Raw genomic sequence first — 16,003 nt, forward strand, 5'->3', positions numbered from 1 at the left:
GCAAAAGGATGGGACAAACAGATGAGTAGAACAGAGAGTCCAAAAACAGACCCCCACATACACCATCAAATGATTTTCAACAAGGACACCAAAGCAATCCAACTGGGGAATGAAAAATCTCTTCAACGCATGGTGCTGGGACAGCTAGATATGGAAATATTTTCAAAATCACCTTTGCCTCACACCATTTGAAAATCTAAGTCAAAATGTGTCATAGAGTTAAACACAAGAGCTAAACTTAAAAGCATAAAGCTACTAAAGACAGACCTTAGAGAGGGCACAAAAGAAACTTGATAAAACAAACACTGTAAAATTTTAAAACTTTTGCTTTTAGAAAGACACCATGAAGAAAAGCCACAGACTGGGAGAAAATATTTGTAACACAGAGAAGGTGCTTGTATCCAGAATAGATAAAGAAACTTTTACAACTCAATAATAAAAAGGCAAACACAAGGTAATAAAAAAAAATTGGGCAAAAGATTTGAACAGAAAGTTTCACCAAAGAAGACAAACGGATAGATAAAGAAACTTTTACAACTCAATAATAAAAAGGCAAACACAAGGTAATAAAAAAAAATTGGGCAAAAGATTTGAACAGAAAGTTTCACCAAAGAAGACATACGGATAGCAAATAAGCACATGAAAAGATACTCAATATCATTAGAGAAATACAAATTATAACCTCAATGAGATAGCACACACCAGAATGGCTAAAGTTTAAAAGACAGACAAAACCAAATGTTAGCAAAGATGTGAGAAGAAACTAGAACTCTCATACATTGGTGTTGGGAATGCAAATGGTGCAACCACTTTGAAAAACAGCTTGGCATTGTCTGAAGAAGTGAAATGTATACCTCTTATGTAACTCACCCATTTCAGAAAGATGTTTAACTATATGACAAATTTTGATTTCGATTTTCATATGGTGTACGTCCATAAAGTTTTTGTCCACACAAAGACTTGTACACAAATGTTCATAGTAGTTTTATTCGTAGTAACCAAAAACTGAAAACAGCTCAAATGTGTATCAACAGATGAATGGATAGACTGTGGTATGTCCATACAGTGAAATACTACTCAGCAATAAAAGGGAACAAATTACAACTAATATGCACAAGCTCAAAAGCATTATACAGAGTGAAAGAAACCAGACCCGAAAGAGTGCATGCCCATTTATATGACATTCAAGACCCAAGAACAGGCAAAACTGATCAATAGTGATAGAAACTGGAGCACTGGTTGCTTTGGGGATTGAGGGGCTGAGTGGGAAGGAGCAATGGAGAAGTTTCTAGGGAGCTTGTCATGTTATATCATCTCAATAGTGGTTTAGGTTACACAGGTGTATACATTCTTGAAAAGATATCAAATTATACACAAGATCTGTGCATTTTATTGTATATAAATGAAACCATTGTTAAAATGTGAAAAAGGAGGGTAGTTCTGGGTTAAATCAACAAAGGAAAAAATCCTTGCAACATGTAAAATGGTGCAGTGCTGTAGAAAAGAGTGTGGCAGTTCCTGAAAAAGTTAAACATAGAATTATGGTGCAACCTAATAATTCTACTCCAAGAGAATTGAAAACACATGTTCACACAAAAACTTGTATATCTTCATGAAAACATTATTTGTAATAGCCAAAAGGTAGAAACAATCCAAATGTCCATCCACTAATGAACGACTAAACAAAGGTGGTCTATCTATATAATGGAGTAGTATTCAGCCATAAAAAGGGATGAAGTACCGATACATGCTACAACTTAAATGAACCTTGAAAACATTATGCTAAGTGAAAGAAGTCAGACATGAAAGACCACATATATGATTCCATTTATATGAAATGTCCAGAATAAGCAAAATCGTAGAGACAGAAAATAGAAGGCTGGGAGCAGTGGCTCATGCCTGTAATCCCAGCACTTTGGGAGGCCGAGCTGGATGGATCACCTGAGGTCAGGAGTTTGAGACCAGCCTGACCAACATGGAGAAACCCCATGTCTACTAAAAATGCAAAAATTAGCCGAGTGTCGTGGCACATGCCTGTAATTCCAGCTACTCGGGAGTCTGAGGCAGGAGAATCGCTTGAACCCGGGAAGCAGAGGTTGCAGTAAGCTGAGATCATGCCATTGCACACCAGCCTGGGGAACAGAGCAAGACTCTGTCTCAAAAAAAAAAAAAAAAGTAGATTTCTGGTTGCCATGGGGCTGGGAGAAGGGCAGGAGAATGGGTAGTGACTAGTAATTGATACAGGGTTTCTTTTTGGGGTGATGAGAATGTTCTGGAATTGGATAGTAATGATGGTTGCACAACATTGTGAATATACTAAAAAGCCACCAACTTATATACTTGAAATTATTAAAATGGTGAATTTTATGTTACATACATTTTAATGTACATGTTATGTACATTTTTTCTTCCATACATTTTTGGAAGAAAAGAAAGATTCTTCCAAGATTCCTGGAGCACCTCATCAGGCTGTGTTTTCATTGCAGAGTTAGAGTCTTATCCTATTTATAATTGAAGAATTTAATACTTACCCCCAATCACCTCCAGGTCAGGTGAGGTCAGACTGGAGGCAAAGGCTTGGCATCTACCACACCCTCTGTCTCCTCTTCAGCTCAATCATAGTGGCCCCATGGTGGAGTCCTCCCAGCTGAAACTCTTGACAGCTAGGAAAATCCATGCTGCACTCTGGTCTTGCTATCCTTTTCTAATCTTTGTAAAAATAAACTGGGATGAGCTTCCTTCCTTGAACCTCCTCCAGCTCACTAAGGACAGAGTGTTCACCTGACTCCTCTCCCATCCCCTCCTATGAGGCACTGGGGTACGCTGGGGCTGTCGCCTGGTTAGGTGACCTCTTTACATTTTCCTGCTCCCTTTTGTGGGTGAGTATTGTCTCTTTTGCAGCCTGCGGACACAGCCCCGCTGGACTCCCTACCCACCTTCACCCTGCCCAAAGCACTTAGAATGCATCTAACGGCATTAGGAGATCACGTGGTTTGACTTCTTCATTTCACAGATGGGGAAACTGAAGCCCTGAGATGTGAAGTCCTTCAGCCTCCTAGCAACAAGCAGCAGAGCCAAGTTTCAGATTGGGGAATTTATAGAGCACCTACTAAGTGCTAGGCATTAGCCTAAGAAAGACTTTACAAACATTACCTCTTTGGATCTTTCAAGGGGTAGATGCCACCACCCCTTATAGCTCATCTTATAGCTGAGGGAGCTGAGGTTCAGAGAGGTGCAGTAACTTGCCCAGGGATGCCCAGTAGTTATCCAAAGCCCATTCTATTTTTTTAATTTTTTATAGAGATGGGGCCTTGCTCTATAGACCAGAGTGAAGTGCAGAGACACAATCATAGTTCACTGCAGCCTCCAATACCTGGTCTTAAGTGATCCTTCTGCCTCAGCCTCCCAAATAGCTGAAACCACAGGTGGATACCACCATACTTGGCTGATTTTTTTGTGTTTTTTTGGTATATATTTTGTAGACATGATCTCACTATGTTGCCCAGGCTGGTCTTGAATTCCTGGCCTCAAGCAATCCTTCTGCCTCAGCCTCCCCAGTAGCTGGGATTATAGACGTGAGCCTGGCAGTCCATTCTCTTATCCACTCTGCTCTCCCTGCCCAATCAGAGGCTGAGTAATCCTCAAGGCACAATTTAATAGAGCCTCTAGACTAGCATTGTCCAATAGAAATAAAAGCCACATGCATCATACTCCAATTCGAATTTTTGAGTAGTCACATGTGTAGGTGTACACACCCTAAGATGACCCCCCATGAGTCATGTCCTAGTGTAATCCTCTCACCTTAAGTGTGGGTGGAATCAGTGATTTATTTCTCACTGACAGAATATGGCAAAGGTGATGGGATGTCACTCCTCTGATTAAGTTGCCTTATATGTCAAAAGGTGATGGGATGTCACTCCCATGATAACATTATGTTATGTAAGAGTCTGTCTTAGCAGGCTAGAGTGAGAGACTCTCCTGCTTGCTTTGAAGAAGCAAGCAGCCATGCTGTGAACAGCCGATGGCCCACATAACAGGGAACTTTGAGGATGTCTGGGAGCTGAAAGCAGCCCCAGTTATCAGCCAGTAAGAAATTAAGGCCCCCAGTTACACAGCCCCCGTGTAATTCTGCCAACAATTTGGATGAGCCTGGAAATGGACTATTCCCCAGATGAGTCTCCAGATGAGAACACAGCCCACCAACATCCTGATTGTCATCTTGTGAGTCCCAGAGCAGGGAACCCGAATATGTCAGGCCTGGATTCCCAAAACACAGAAACTAGGAGATGATAAATGGATGTTGCTTCAAGCCACTATGTTTGCAGGCATTTGTGATGTAGTAATAGAAAACTATGCTGAGTGCACTGGCTCACACCTGTAATTTCAGCACTTTGGGAGGCCAAGGCAGGCAGATCACTTGAGGTCAGGGGTTCAAGACCAGTCTGGCCAACATGGTGAAACCCTGTCTCTATTAAAAATACAAAAATTAACCAGGCTTGATGGCACACACCTGTAGTTCCAGCTACTCAGGAAGCTGAGGCAGGAGAATCGCTTGAACCTGAGAAACCGAGGTTACAGTGAGCCGAGATCGTACCACTGGACTCCAGCCTGGGCAACAGAGCTAGCTAGACTCTGTCTCAAAAACAAAAAACAAAAAACAAAAAAAAAAAACAACAAAAAAACGAATACAGCACATTTTTAAAGTAAGAAAAAGAAGTGAGATTATTTTATCAGCATTTTAAAAGTATACCCAAAGTATTATTTCAACATGCAATCAATATACAAAATTTTAACTTTAATTAATGAGATACTTTAAATTCTTTTGTGTTTTTCCTACTAAATCTTTGAAAGCTGGCATGTATTTTATACTTACAAAACATCTCAGTTTGGGCCAACCACATTTCAAGCAATCAAGAGCCACATGTGGCTAGTGGTCACCATGTTGGGTAGCATAGGTCTAGACATTTAGTGGGCTGTTACCATATGCCTGCATCACCTCCTCTTCAGTGCCCAGCATATGGCAGGTGCTCAAAGGAATCCATGATTCCTAAAGTTACAAAGGGTTGATAGTCACTGAGCACTTACGGTCAGCAAGACCTGTGCAAAACCCTCATTTGAGCCTCACAAGCTCCCTATGAAGTGATCATTACTGTGAACATTCTCTCCACTTTACAGATGAGTAAGCTGAGGTGCAAAGAGGCAAGGCTCTGCAGTCCAGACCCTGGGCTATGACATGCTCATCATCCACCCTAGGAATCTGAGGCCCACCGGCATCCCACCACATCCAAAAGCCCCCTCTTCTCTTCACACACAACCCAGGTGACCCCAACCCAGAGTGACTTTAAGAAACCCTACGCAAACCCCCATGAAAATGTCTCCTAGGCCTCAAGAGGGAGTGATGTCATTACTTCCCTGCCCCCTCTTTTCTCCTTTCCCTCCTAAGGACTGACCCATCTCTAACCAGGGCCCTCTATTCTTCTAAATCCCTTAAAAACAACTTGATCTCAGAATGAAGCTTCTGATAACTTGCAGTAGAGGGCATAGGGCCACAGATGTCCAAAGTCACTGGGGCCTTGGGCCACCAGATCCCTGTCACCTCAGGGACCACCATGATGCAACCCTACTGTAGAGAAAGAAAAATGGGGCTGACTCTCTTTTCGGACTCAGCCCGCCTGCACCCAGGTGAAATAAACAGCCATGTTGCTCACACAAAGCCTGTTTGGTGGTCTCTTCACACGGACGCGCATGAAATTTGGTGCCGCGCATGAAATTTGGTGCCGTGACTCGGATCGGGGGAGACCTCCCTTGGGAGATCAATCCCCTGTCCTCCTGCTCTTTGCTCCGTGAGAAACATCCACCTACGACCTCAGGTCCTCAGACCGACCAGCCCAAGAAACATCTCACCAATTTCAAATCCAGTAAGCGGCCTCTTTGTACTCTCTTCTCCAACCTCCCTCACTATCCCTCAACCTCTTTCTCCTTTCAATCTTGGCGCCACACTTCAATCTCTCCCTTCTCTTAATTTCAATTCCTTTCATTTTCTGGTAGAGACAAAAGAGACATGTTTTATCCGTGAACCCAAAACTCCGGCACCGGTCACGGACTGGGAAGGCAGCCTTCCCTTGGTGTTTAATCATTGCAGGGACACCTCTCTGATTATACACTCACGTTTCAAGGGTGCCAGACCACGCAGGGACGCCTGCCTTGGTCCTTCACCCTTAGTGGCAAGTCCCACTTTCCTGGGGCAGGGGCAACTACCCCTCAACCCCTTCTCCTTCACCCTCAGCGGCAAGTCCCGCTTTCCTAGGGGGCAGGGGCAAGTACCCCTCAACCCCTTCTCCTTCACCCTTAGCGGCAAGTCCTGCTTTCCTAGGGGGCAAGAACCCCCCCAGTCACTTATTTCTACACCCCAACCTCTTATCTCTGTGCTCCAATCCCTTATTTCCACACCCTGACCTCTTATCTCTGTGCCCCAATCCCTTATTTCCGTGCCCCAACCCCTTCTCTGCTTTTCTGGAGGGCAAGAACCCCCCACCCTTTCTCCGTGTCTCTACTCTTTTCTCTGGGCTTGCCTCCTTCACTATGGGTAAGCTTCCACCTTCCATTCCTCCTTCTTCTCCCTTAGCCTGTGTTCTCAAAAACTTAAAACCTCTTCAACTCACACCTGACCTAAAACCTAAATGCCTTATTTTCTTCTGCAATGCCGCTTGACCCCAATACAAACTCGACAGTAGTTCCAAATAGCCAGAAAATGGCACTTTGAATTTTTCCATCCTGCAAGATCTAAATAATTCTTGTCGTAAAATAGGCAAACGGTCTGAGGTGCCTGACGTCCAGGCATTCTTTTACACATCAGTCCCGTCCTAGTCTCTGTGCCCAGTGCAACTCGTCCCAAATCTTCTTTCCCTCCCCCCTGTCCCCTCAGTACCAACCCCAAGCGTCGCTGAGTCTTTCTAATCTTCCTTTTCTACAGACCCATCTGACCTCTCCCTTCCTCCCCAGCCTGCTCCTCGCCAGGCTGAGCTAGGTCCCAATTCTTCCTCAGCCTCCGCTCCTCCACCCTATAGTCTTTTTATCACCTCCCCTCCTCACACCTGGTCCGACTTACAGTTTCGTTCCCTGACTAGCCCTCCCCCACCTGCCCAGCAATTTACTCTTAAAAAGGTGGCTGGAGCCAAAGGCATAGTCAAGGTGAATGCTCCTTTTTCTTTATCCCAAATCAGATAGCGTTTAGGCTCTTTTTCATCAAATATAAAAATCCAGCCCAGTTCATGGCTTGTTTGGCAGCAATCCTGAGACGCTTTACAGCCCTAGACCCTAAAAAGTCAAAAGGCCATCTTATTCTCAAAATACATTTTATTACCCAATCTGCTCCCGACATTAAAACTCCAAAAATTAAATTCCGGCCCTCAAACCCCACAACAGGATTTAATTAACCTCGCCTTCAAGGTGTACAATAATAGAAAAAAGTTGCAATTCCTTGCCTCCACTGTGAGACGAACCCCAGCCACATCTCCAGCAACACAAGAACTTCCAAACGCCTGAACCGCAGCGGCCAGGCGTTCCTCCAGAACCTCCTCCCACAGGAGCTTGCTACCTATGCCGGAAATCTGGCCACTGGGCCAAGGAATGCCTGCAGCCCAGGATTCCTCCTAAGCCGCGTCCCATCTGTGCGGGACCCCACTGAAAATCGGACTGTTTAACTCACCTGGCAGCCACTCCCAGAGGCCCTGGAACTCTGGCCCAAGGCTCTCTGACTGACTCCTTCCCAGATCTTCTCGGCTTAGCGGCTGAAGACTGACACTGCCCGATCGCCTCGGAAGCCCCCAGACCATCACGGACGCCGAGCTTCGGGTAACTCTCACAGTGGAAGGTTCCCACGCCGACCCTAATCCCGCTTGAAGCAGCCCTGAGAAACATCGCCCATTCTCTGTCCATATCACCCCCCAAAAATTTTTGCCGCCCCAACACTTCAACACTATTTTGTTTTATTTTTCTTATTAATATAAGAAGGCAGGAATGTCAGGCCTCTGAGCCCAAGCCAAGCCATCGCATCCCCTGTGACTTGCACATATAGGCCCAGATGGCCTGAAGTAACTGAAGAATCACAAAAGAAGTGAATATGCCCTGCCCCACCTTAACTGATGACATTCCACCACAAAAGAAGTGTAAATGGCCGGTCCTTGCCTTAACTGATGACATTACCTTGTGAAAGTCCTTTTCCTGGCTCATCCTGGCTCAAAAAGCACCCCCACTGAGCACCTTGCGACCCCCACTCCTGCCCACTGAGCACCTTGCGACCCCCACTCCTACCCACCAGAGAACAAACCCCCTTTGACTGTAATTTTCCTTTACCTACCCAAATCCTATAAAACGGCCCCACCCTTATCTCCCTTCGCTGACTCTCTTTTTGGACTCAGCCCGCCTGCACCCAGGTGAAATAAACAGCCATGTTGCTCACAAAAAAAAAAAAAAGAAAAATGGAGGCCCAAAGCAGTGTCTCTCCAAGGCACACTTTGAATTTCCTGTGGTATTTCGTCCAGAATCTTTCTTCAGATAACATGGCCCCCTCTGAGGCTGCAAAAATGGAATTTGCTCAACATCCATCTGCCACAGATGGATAGTGCACCTCTCTCATACTCTATGCACTATGCATGGGACCTGTCCAGGTAGGGTTTTGAAGGATGAATAGGAGAGCCACCACCCTCCTAATCCAAGCTGGGCCAGGGTCCTCGGCTGCCTTCTGCCCCTCGTTCCCCCAGACTGTCAACTCAGGACGAAGAAGGCAGTCTTTCTGAGGTGTGAGATGGGTGTTTCTCTGTCAGTATGGAAAGGCCCCACCAGCAAGGTGGGCCAGCCTACTGCTAGACCCCTATCCTGGTCCTCCCCAGGGCCAAAATGTACCCCAATGTCATGTGCAATCCCCACAATGTGCCAGTCTGTGCCATAGTCCTTTGGTTCTTAGGCCCTCTGAGAGTTCCTTCTTTCACTCATTTGTTCATTTCACACCAACCTGAAGTCTCCCAAATGCCCATACCCAATGCTCATCATTCTTTCACACTTCTTTCTCCTTCCTTGGGTTCTGATCGTGATCATATACCACTGTCACTCTGAGCAGGAGACCTTTAAAGGTTAAAGAGATTTTTTAAGCTTCTCCAAATTTAGGTGACTATAGAGGCTTCATCTGTAAAACTTTATATTCTGATAAATATTCCATTACCTATGTGAAGAAAACTTGAAAAGTTGAAAGAAAAAAATACAATAAAACTACAAAATTAGGCTCAATTTATGTGCTGGGATGAATAGGATGAACTCCTATTCATCCTTCAAAACCCTCTCTGGACACGCCTTACTGGAGAAAGCCTTTTCCAAGCCTCCCACATGGGGTTCATGAATCTCTGAGTGGCATCCATGTCTTGTACCACCATGGGTTACTGGGCATATTCCCTTCACTTTTAATTGTCAACGTACTTGTCCATCCACTCCTATTCCGCCGTCTATACCGTATTTCCCGCAGGATGATTCACGATCTCCATCACAACTGGACTCAAAGCCACTTTTTGACTGCTCATCCTTGTCCACTTCATCTCCCTGAGCCTATTGCCTCATCTGTGACATGGGATGAATCTGCCCCAGCATGAGGTTGCCGTGAGAATTAAATGAGATAATATGAGTCTGTAAAGTGCCTAGTACTGAGTGTGGCTCTCCATTCATGGCAGTTTTATTACCTGGATCCTCCGTTTCTGCCACATAATAGGAGCTGAATAAATGTGTTGAGTTGGAATGAAATGGTTTGAATTGCCTGCATCTGTATGGTGTCCTTTGGTTACCAGTGAGGGGTGGGAACCCAGGTCTCTGAGTCAGTCCCAGGGAAGCAAATTTCCTCCATGGTCATTCTATCCTGTAGATGGGTCACAGGAAGTGGAAGCAGCATGTCTAACTCTGGAGGGTCTGGAAGATGTGTCCTACCAAATGCCAATGGAAAGGTGTCACCAGGTGTCAGAAAGGGGCTGGCACTGCCTGTTTCCCCTCTGTGCCTGGCACTGTGCTCAGGAGTCTTCCCATAGACAGCTCTGTGGGGTCATAACACTCTTTCTGTCCACTCTACAGCCAAGAAAACTGAGGCTCAGAGAGAGTGCACTGCCTACCTCCCGGAGACCCAGTGACTGCAGAGGTTTTTCCACTCAGGATTCCAGCCCCAGTGACAAAGTAACTATGGCAGGTAATCTTCCTAAATGTGTTCTTTGCTCCTGAGATGGGGAATTTCCTGGATGTAATTAAACGTTTTACCAGCTTAATGCCAGTCTGGGGAGCTTCTGTTCACACTCTGCCTTAGTGTGATGTTTTCCAGGGTAGAGTCATTGGAGACACGTGTAAGCTGTTTGCCTCCACACTGAATGGCCGCGCTGCAGCTCTCAATCTGCCGCCATCATTTCTGACTCATCTTCCCGCTCCAACCTGGCATTGGGCGCCCACCTACATTAGCCCTCTGATCTGCTGTGGGCTGTGAAAGAAGGTAACTGCACCTGTTATAATTAGGTGTAAAATACAAGTTCAGAGGTTCTGATTCAGTAGTCTAGCACAAGGCCAGAAATCTGGAGTTAACAAGAGCCCTTAGGTGTTTCTGCGGCCAGGGTTCTGTGGACCATGCTTTGAGAAACACTGAGAGGTAAAGGTGCAAAAGGGAAGGACAGGAATGGTCTGCAGTGGCCTCAGGTCTGAGGCTGCAGATGCCGGAGTGAAGCCACTGCCCAAAGAGTGGCCCATAGGCAAACCGATCCTTTTACAGGGCTGGTGCTCACAGTGAGCTTCCAGCTAGATGTTACTTGCTCCACTTAAGAAACAAAAAAACTGGGGGCTGTAGTTAAGCCGCTTGCCCAAGGTCCATGGCTGTAAGGGGAGGAAGCAGCATGCGCCCCAGGACAGCGTGACTCCAGACCGCCATCGGCTGCCCTGTGGTAAGATTATGGTGCTGATGCTGACGCTTTATGCACATGAAGCCCTTCCTACATGTTGTGTCCAGTGCATTGTCTCCGATAACAACCCCACGAGCTAGACCCCTTTCAAAGATGAGGAAAAGGTGGAGCTGAGAAGCTGCATAACTTGCAGGAGATTCCCAGGCTTACTAGGATCTGAAACTGAACACTAGAACCCAGAAGCATAAGCATCACCCTACACAGCCACTGGGGGGGGCACTTCCGTTGCCCCCTCCCTCCTACATGAGTCAGATACAGGGTTCTTGGCCCCCAAAGGATCTTTCCCCCAAGGAGACATTGGGCAATGTTTAGATAGGTTTTTTTTTTTTTTTTTTTTTGGCATCTAGTGGGTGGAGGCCAGGAATGCCGTTCAACCTCCTCAAATGCCTAGTTGCCCCCCTTACACTCCAGCAAAGAATTAACAGGCCCAAAATGTCAATAGTGCCAAGGTTGAGAAATACTGAAATGACCCAACTTAGAACATCAACACACACACAGACACACACACACAGACACACCCACTACAGCATCCAAACCTACACCCCTACGTCCCATAGAATCTGAAGAGACTGATGTAAAAAGGGGATAGAGTTGGGAGGAAACAAAGAAAGCGAGCCCCACCCACAAATATACCACAGTCACCATTAACGTCATATTTATTGTTATTTAACTGCTCAGGAAAACATATACAGGTATATACAATATGCAGGAATACAGAAGACTGCACTTTACATATTTTTTTAAAAAAGAAAGAAAAAAATAACACTCAATTTCATGAGCTATTGTCACAGTCTTCCAACCAAGCATTTCAGAAATGAATTTCTTTTAAGAGTCAAAAAAGATTACAGGATTGCCTAACACACAGCAGAGTTAAGTTTTCATATTTTACATGTGCAATAACATTTTCGTTTTCTTTCCCAAAGAGTTTGCTATGCAGTACTGATTACCAGTGTTCGGAGTCTAGTGTGTAGGGTGTGTTTTTCATTTACTTTTATTCTTTCCATTAAACCAAATTTAATGAAATAACATCCTTTTGCTTAAGGCTATTTTTAAAGCTGTTTCATTCTGGGGTCGTGGGGAGCGAGAAAGTTTTTAAAACTTCAGGGGTTTCTGAGGTTGCCAGGACCATGAGCTAATTGGCAAAGTGTTGATGACTCAACGCTGGGAAAGTCAAAGACAGAAGTTAAGACACTTTGCTCCCCGGCCTTAAGCAATTAAGGAGAAATCATTCCTGTTTCAAAAGTAAAATGATGAGGCTCTCAAACAGCTGTACACTGCAGAATCAGAGGGGTCATGGAGTCTTGCCCAGAATACGGTCAACTCTCCCACAGCCCATGGTGGGGGGAAATTCCCTTCCCTTTCCATTCCTTTTGTAGCAGAACGCAGGAACTGCCTCGGCTCACACCTTTCTCGCTGATCAATTCATGCCACCTGCTTTGTCTGCCCTCTGAAGGCGGGGTTTGCTCCTCGTCAAGACTGCCCAGGCGAGAACCGCAGACTCAGACCCCAGCCAAAAGGACCGGCAGAAGGAAAGAGGGGAGAAGGGAGGGGAAAGAGTGAGGTTTTTCTGAAAGCTCCTCTCCCTTCGCTGAAAAGTTCTTTGAAATAAACAACGTGGGTGTTGTATGGTGAGCCCAGAGCCTTCAGGTCACTTGCTTTAGAAAGCCCAGATCTGCAAACTCTGAGGACCTGGAGGGGGTGGGGGAGCTCAAAGTGGAGCGTTTTAGTAAGACACGCTCGTTAACAAAAACTGAAATTAAATAGATAACCATCACGGTTATATATTTGGGTGAAGTGATATCAGTTACTTCCTGTCTAACCCACCGGGGAATCTATGTGCCCCCCACCACAAGCCATAAATGGCTTTTGCAGGCATCAGCAGCACCCAAAGTTGCCTGCCCCTGCCAACCACCACTCATCTCTGCTCAGAGCAGTTATTCCTTTGTGAGATGCTTGGGACATGGCTCTAGTTTTGCAACAGGGTGAGATTCCAAAAAAATGTTGGGGAGGGGGCAGAGGAATTCCAGAGTTCAAAACTAAAAGGCGCAGGAATCAAAGTCATTTCATTCTATTCTCTTTCTCTGTCCTCTAGCCCTCAGGAGTCTGCAGATCCCTGCAAAGGCTCAGAGAAGGCTGAGCAGGCTGAGCAAGAGGGTGCCTCATCCCTCCCAGGGGTGGGGTTGCCCAGGCTGGACTGGGGATGGAATGGGAGAGGTGGAGGAGATACACGCAGTCCCCTCCTTCTTCCCTGGGATGCCCGGCCAGGAACAGCTTTCAGAAAAGGGAAAGGGCTGAGAACAGCCTCCTCCAACTCCAGCACCCAAGGCACGGGCAGCAGCCTTGCTCCAAAGACTGCAGGCTGGGAGCACACCATCCCCCATGCAGACCAAAGGCTGCTTAGCACAGCGTGAAAATGCAGGGCCTGGGCATTTGCGAGGAGGCCCAGAAAAGGAGAGAAAACACTGCTGTCGAACATTCCAACTCCTTCCCACAGAGCAGAGCTGGACACGTCCTCACGTCCATCGCAGAGAGGGGCGGCTTCCAGCAGGAGAAGAGAGAACTCAAGTGGAAGGGAACTGAAGGCTGAGCACTGTGTTTGCAGGAATGAAAATATATTTTCTTAGGGAACAGACAAAACAAAATCCCAGGCGGAATACCTAAGAGGGGCATTCATTGTTTGGCTCCTGCCTGACTGATGACACTGGGGTGTCAATATATAACATTGTGATGACAATTGGACTTTCACCCGGCAATATTCCAGAACTACTATTCTCCAGGATTTCCATTTTAATAAGCAGTGAACAAAGCAAAAAGAAAATAAAAGGGGAGGGGGTAAGAAAAGGAAAAAGAATAAAAAAGAAAGCAACTCTTGTCTTATTATGAAATAACAATACTTGGACATACAGCAGCATGAAAACAAAACAAGGAAAGAGGTCATCTAAAAAATGTATGCCAAGATTACCGAAACATGGGGAGTATCTAGAGGAAAAAGGCTTAAGCAAAAGTTTGCTAACTGCAGAAGGGTTAACACTGGTAACATACTGTGGCAGACAAGTTTCTTTTTTAAAAAAACTTTTGAGGTTCCCCCCCTTTAAATTAACCCTTTCCGGTCCATATGCCACTAAGCAGGTACCAACCTAGAGAAAAAAAAAAAACTCATCCACTCAGCAATAGTGGCCCTTTCAAATTAACAGAGGGGTGGGGTAAGGTTGAGGGGGAAGGAAACAGACAGGGGGAGAGGAAGGGCCTGGTAGAGGAGGGGATCTTTCTTGTCATTCAAGTTAGGGCAGCCACGAATGTCCCAAATCTGTTGGAGATGTCAGAATGCAGGGACCGCCAGGTGGGCACGGAGGCTCGAGCCTTGGCGTCACCCACGTCGTCTGTGCAGTGGACAGACAGGCACTGCAAGTGGCTGCCAGGCTGGGATGCTGAGGCCTTGTTTGCAGGGAGGTCGTGGGCTGTGGAGAGAGAAGGAAGAGAGGACATTAGTGGCACACTCGTCTCTGAGGGACACCATAATGGGGGCCAAAGTGGCAGAGGCATACAAGACAGGCACCGTCCACGCCCTCTTTCCATGGCTAAAGCTGGTCCCAGAGGATCTAGAGATGTTGTTTTGAATCTTCTTGCTGTTACCCCTGATTCATCTGTGAGATCTCAGCCAAGGGAAGACCTCCCTGTTGGGCCTCAGTTTCCCCACTGGGAAATAGGAAAGTGAGGCAGGATAAACTCAGAGTTTGCCCATCTCTGATGCACCAGAGTTCCCAAAAGATTAACTGGACGTGATCTAAGTCAGGAATGCTTCCTGGAGGAGGGGCATCTAAACTGGGCATCAAAGGATGTGTAGGAGTTCGCCGCATGCAGTGAAAGGGTGGAGGGGAGGATTGTCTGGGTCCAGAACACAGCCTGTTTGTGTGTCATCCTCTGGAGAGACATTTGCTTAGGGCCTACCACGAGCTGGGAACTTTCTTAAAATGTGCCAGACTGCATACCAACTCCAGGGGGGAAGGATGATCACCTCTACTTTACAGCTAAGAAAACTGAGACTCAGAGAGGGAAGATGACTTGCCCCGAGTCACACAGGAGAAAGTGTGGAGTCACAGCACCCTTTCCAGAGGAGCAGGAAGGATGGAGAAGGTGCCTGTGGATACCCAGCTTGGCACAGCTGAGCCACAAAGACTAGACGCCCACAGCTCCCCAAGCCCCATGTGCTCCCCAATCCCCAAGCGCTCCCCAGTGCTTTCCAATCACTCCCTTTTCAGCCCCTCTCCCACCTCTGAAGGTTCTGCCCCTCATTGGTGTGCAGGGGCTGAGGCTCCATAGAGGTGGCTTTGAGAGTGGGGGCATGGGAGAAGAGGAGCCCTTCGGGACACCTGCCTGTGTCTTTCATTCCCTCCTACGCTCTGGCCTTAGCTTGCTCATACTCCATTTTACAGATGAGAAGTCTGAGCCCCAGAAAGGCACAGAAACTTTCCTGGGGTCACACAGCTCCAACCTAATGGCTGAGAGAATCCAGTTGTAGCTCCGCAAAGGGACCCGAGGCCAGTCCCCTCCTCTGAAAAGGGGAGTGTCCACCCGGCTCATGCACCTCCTTATGATGGCTAGTCAACCAGGCTGTTGATATGTACAAGGTGTTTGTATAAACTGTAAAGTGTTGTCCTCACAAGGACAGAAGATGAAGTGTTCAGAGCAGGAGAGACAGAGAATCTGAGCTCCCCAATCAGACCAGCACAAAAGCACCATTCTCAGCTACTACGTGAAAGGACTCTGGGTGCCTGGGGTGGGGGAGTCTATTCCTCTCCCATACCCTTAGTGAAACTCCCCTGAACCCTCTTTTCATTGAGTCACACAATGCCAGAAAGCACCACAGATCACAGGGATGTCTGTGTTAGACACGCTTGAGGAGAAAGGAGCCTGACAACCATTCACATCTTAGTATAAATTAGACCAAAGCAGGGAATTTGCAGGACTTCTCATTTACGGCTACCACATGACCACTGGCTCTGTCCTGAGACCTGCCATATGTCAAT

The 16,003-nt window shown here is 46.4% G+C and overlaps 1 protein-coding gene across 1 annotated transcript in view, besides 4 other annotated features; it reads right to left on the reverse strand.

Annotated features, from left to right (window-relative positions):
• Positions 5,754-6,254: an enhancer, noted in NCBI's record as "H3K27ac hESC enhancer chr22:28138404-28138904 (GRCh37/hg19 assembly coordinates)". NCBI's record gives its function as "activates a minimal SCP1, AML or CMV promoter by ChIP-STARR-seq in primed H9 embryonic stem cells {active_cell/tissue: H9 hESC(primed)}" and the evidence as "EXISTENCE:reporter gene assay evidence [ECO:0000049][PMID:30033119]".
• Positions 6,255-6,756: an enhancer, noted in NCBI's record as "H3K27ac hESC enhancer chr22:28138905-28139406 (GRCh37/hg19 assembly coordinates)". NCBI's record gives its function as "activates a minimal SCP1, AML or CMV promoter by ChIP-STARR-seq in primed H9 embryonic stem cells {active_cell/tissue: H9 hESC(primed)}" and the evidence as "EXISTENCE:reporter gene assay evidence [ECO:0000049][PMID:30033119]".
• Positions 10,274-10,774: an enhancer, noted in NCBI's record as "H3K4me1 hESC enhancer chr22:28142924-28143424 (GRCh37/hg19 assembly coordinates)". NCBI's record gives its function as "activates a minimal SCP1, AML or CMV promoter by ChIP-STARR-seq in naive H9 embryonic stem cells {active_cell/tissue: H9 hESC(naive)}" and the evidence as "EXISTENCE:reporter gene assay evidence [ECO:0000049][PMID:30033119]".
• Positions 11,615-16,003, reverse strand: part of MN1 (MN1 proto-oncogene, transcriptional regulator) — a 53,480-nt gene continuing 49,091 nt past the window's right edge. Inside the window, exon 2 of the mRNA NM_002430.3 lies at positions 11,615-14,434. Within this exon, the coding sequence (NP_002421.3) occupies positions 14,253-14,434 (182 nt within the window). The 3' untranslated portion in view covers positions 11,615-14,252. The remainder of the gene's footprint in view (positions 14,435-16,003) is intronic.
• Positions 12,791-13,661: an enhancer, noted in NCBI's record as "H3K27ac-H3K4me1 hESC enhancer chr22:28145441-28146311 (GRCh37/hg19 assembly coordinates)". NCBI's record gives its function as "activates a minimal SCP1, AML or CMV promoter by ChIP-STARR-seq in primed H9 embryonic stem cells {active_cell/tissue: H9 hESC(primed)}" and the evidence as "EXISTENCE:reporter gene assay evidence [ECO:0000049][PMID:30033119]".

The sequence above is a fragment of the Homo sapiens genome, chromosome 22 (genome assembly GCF_000001405.40).
Source record: "Homo sapiens chromosome 22, GRCh38.p14 Primary Assembly".
Lineage (NCBI taxonomy): Eukaryota > Metazoa > Chordata > Mammalia > Primates > Hominidae > Homo > Homo sapiens.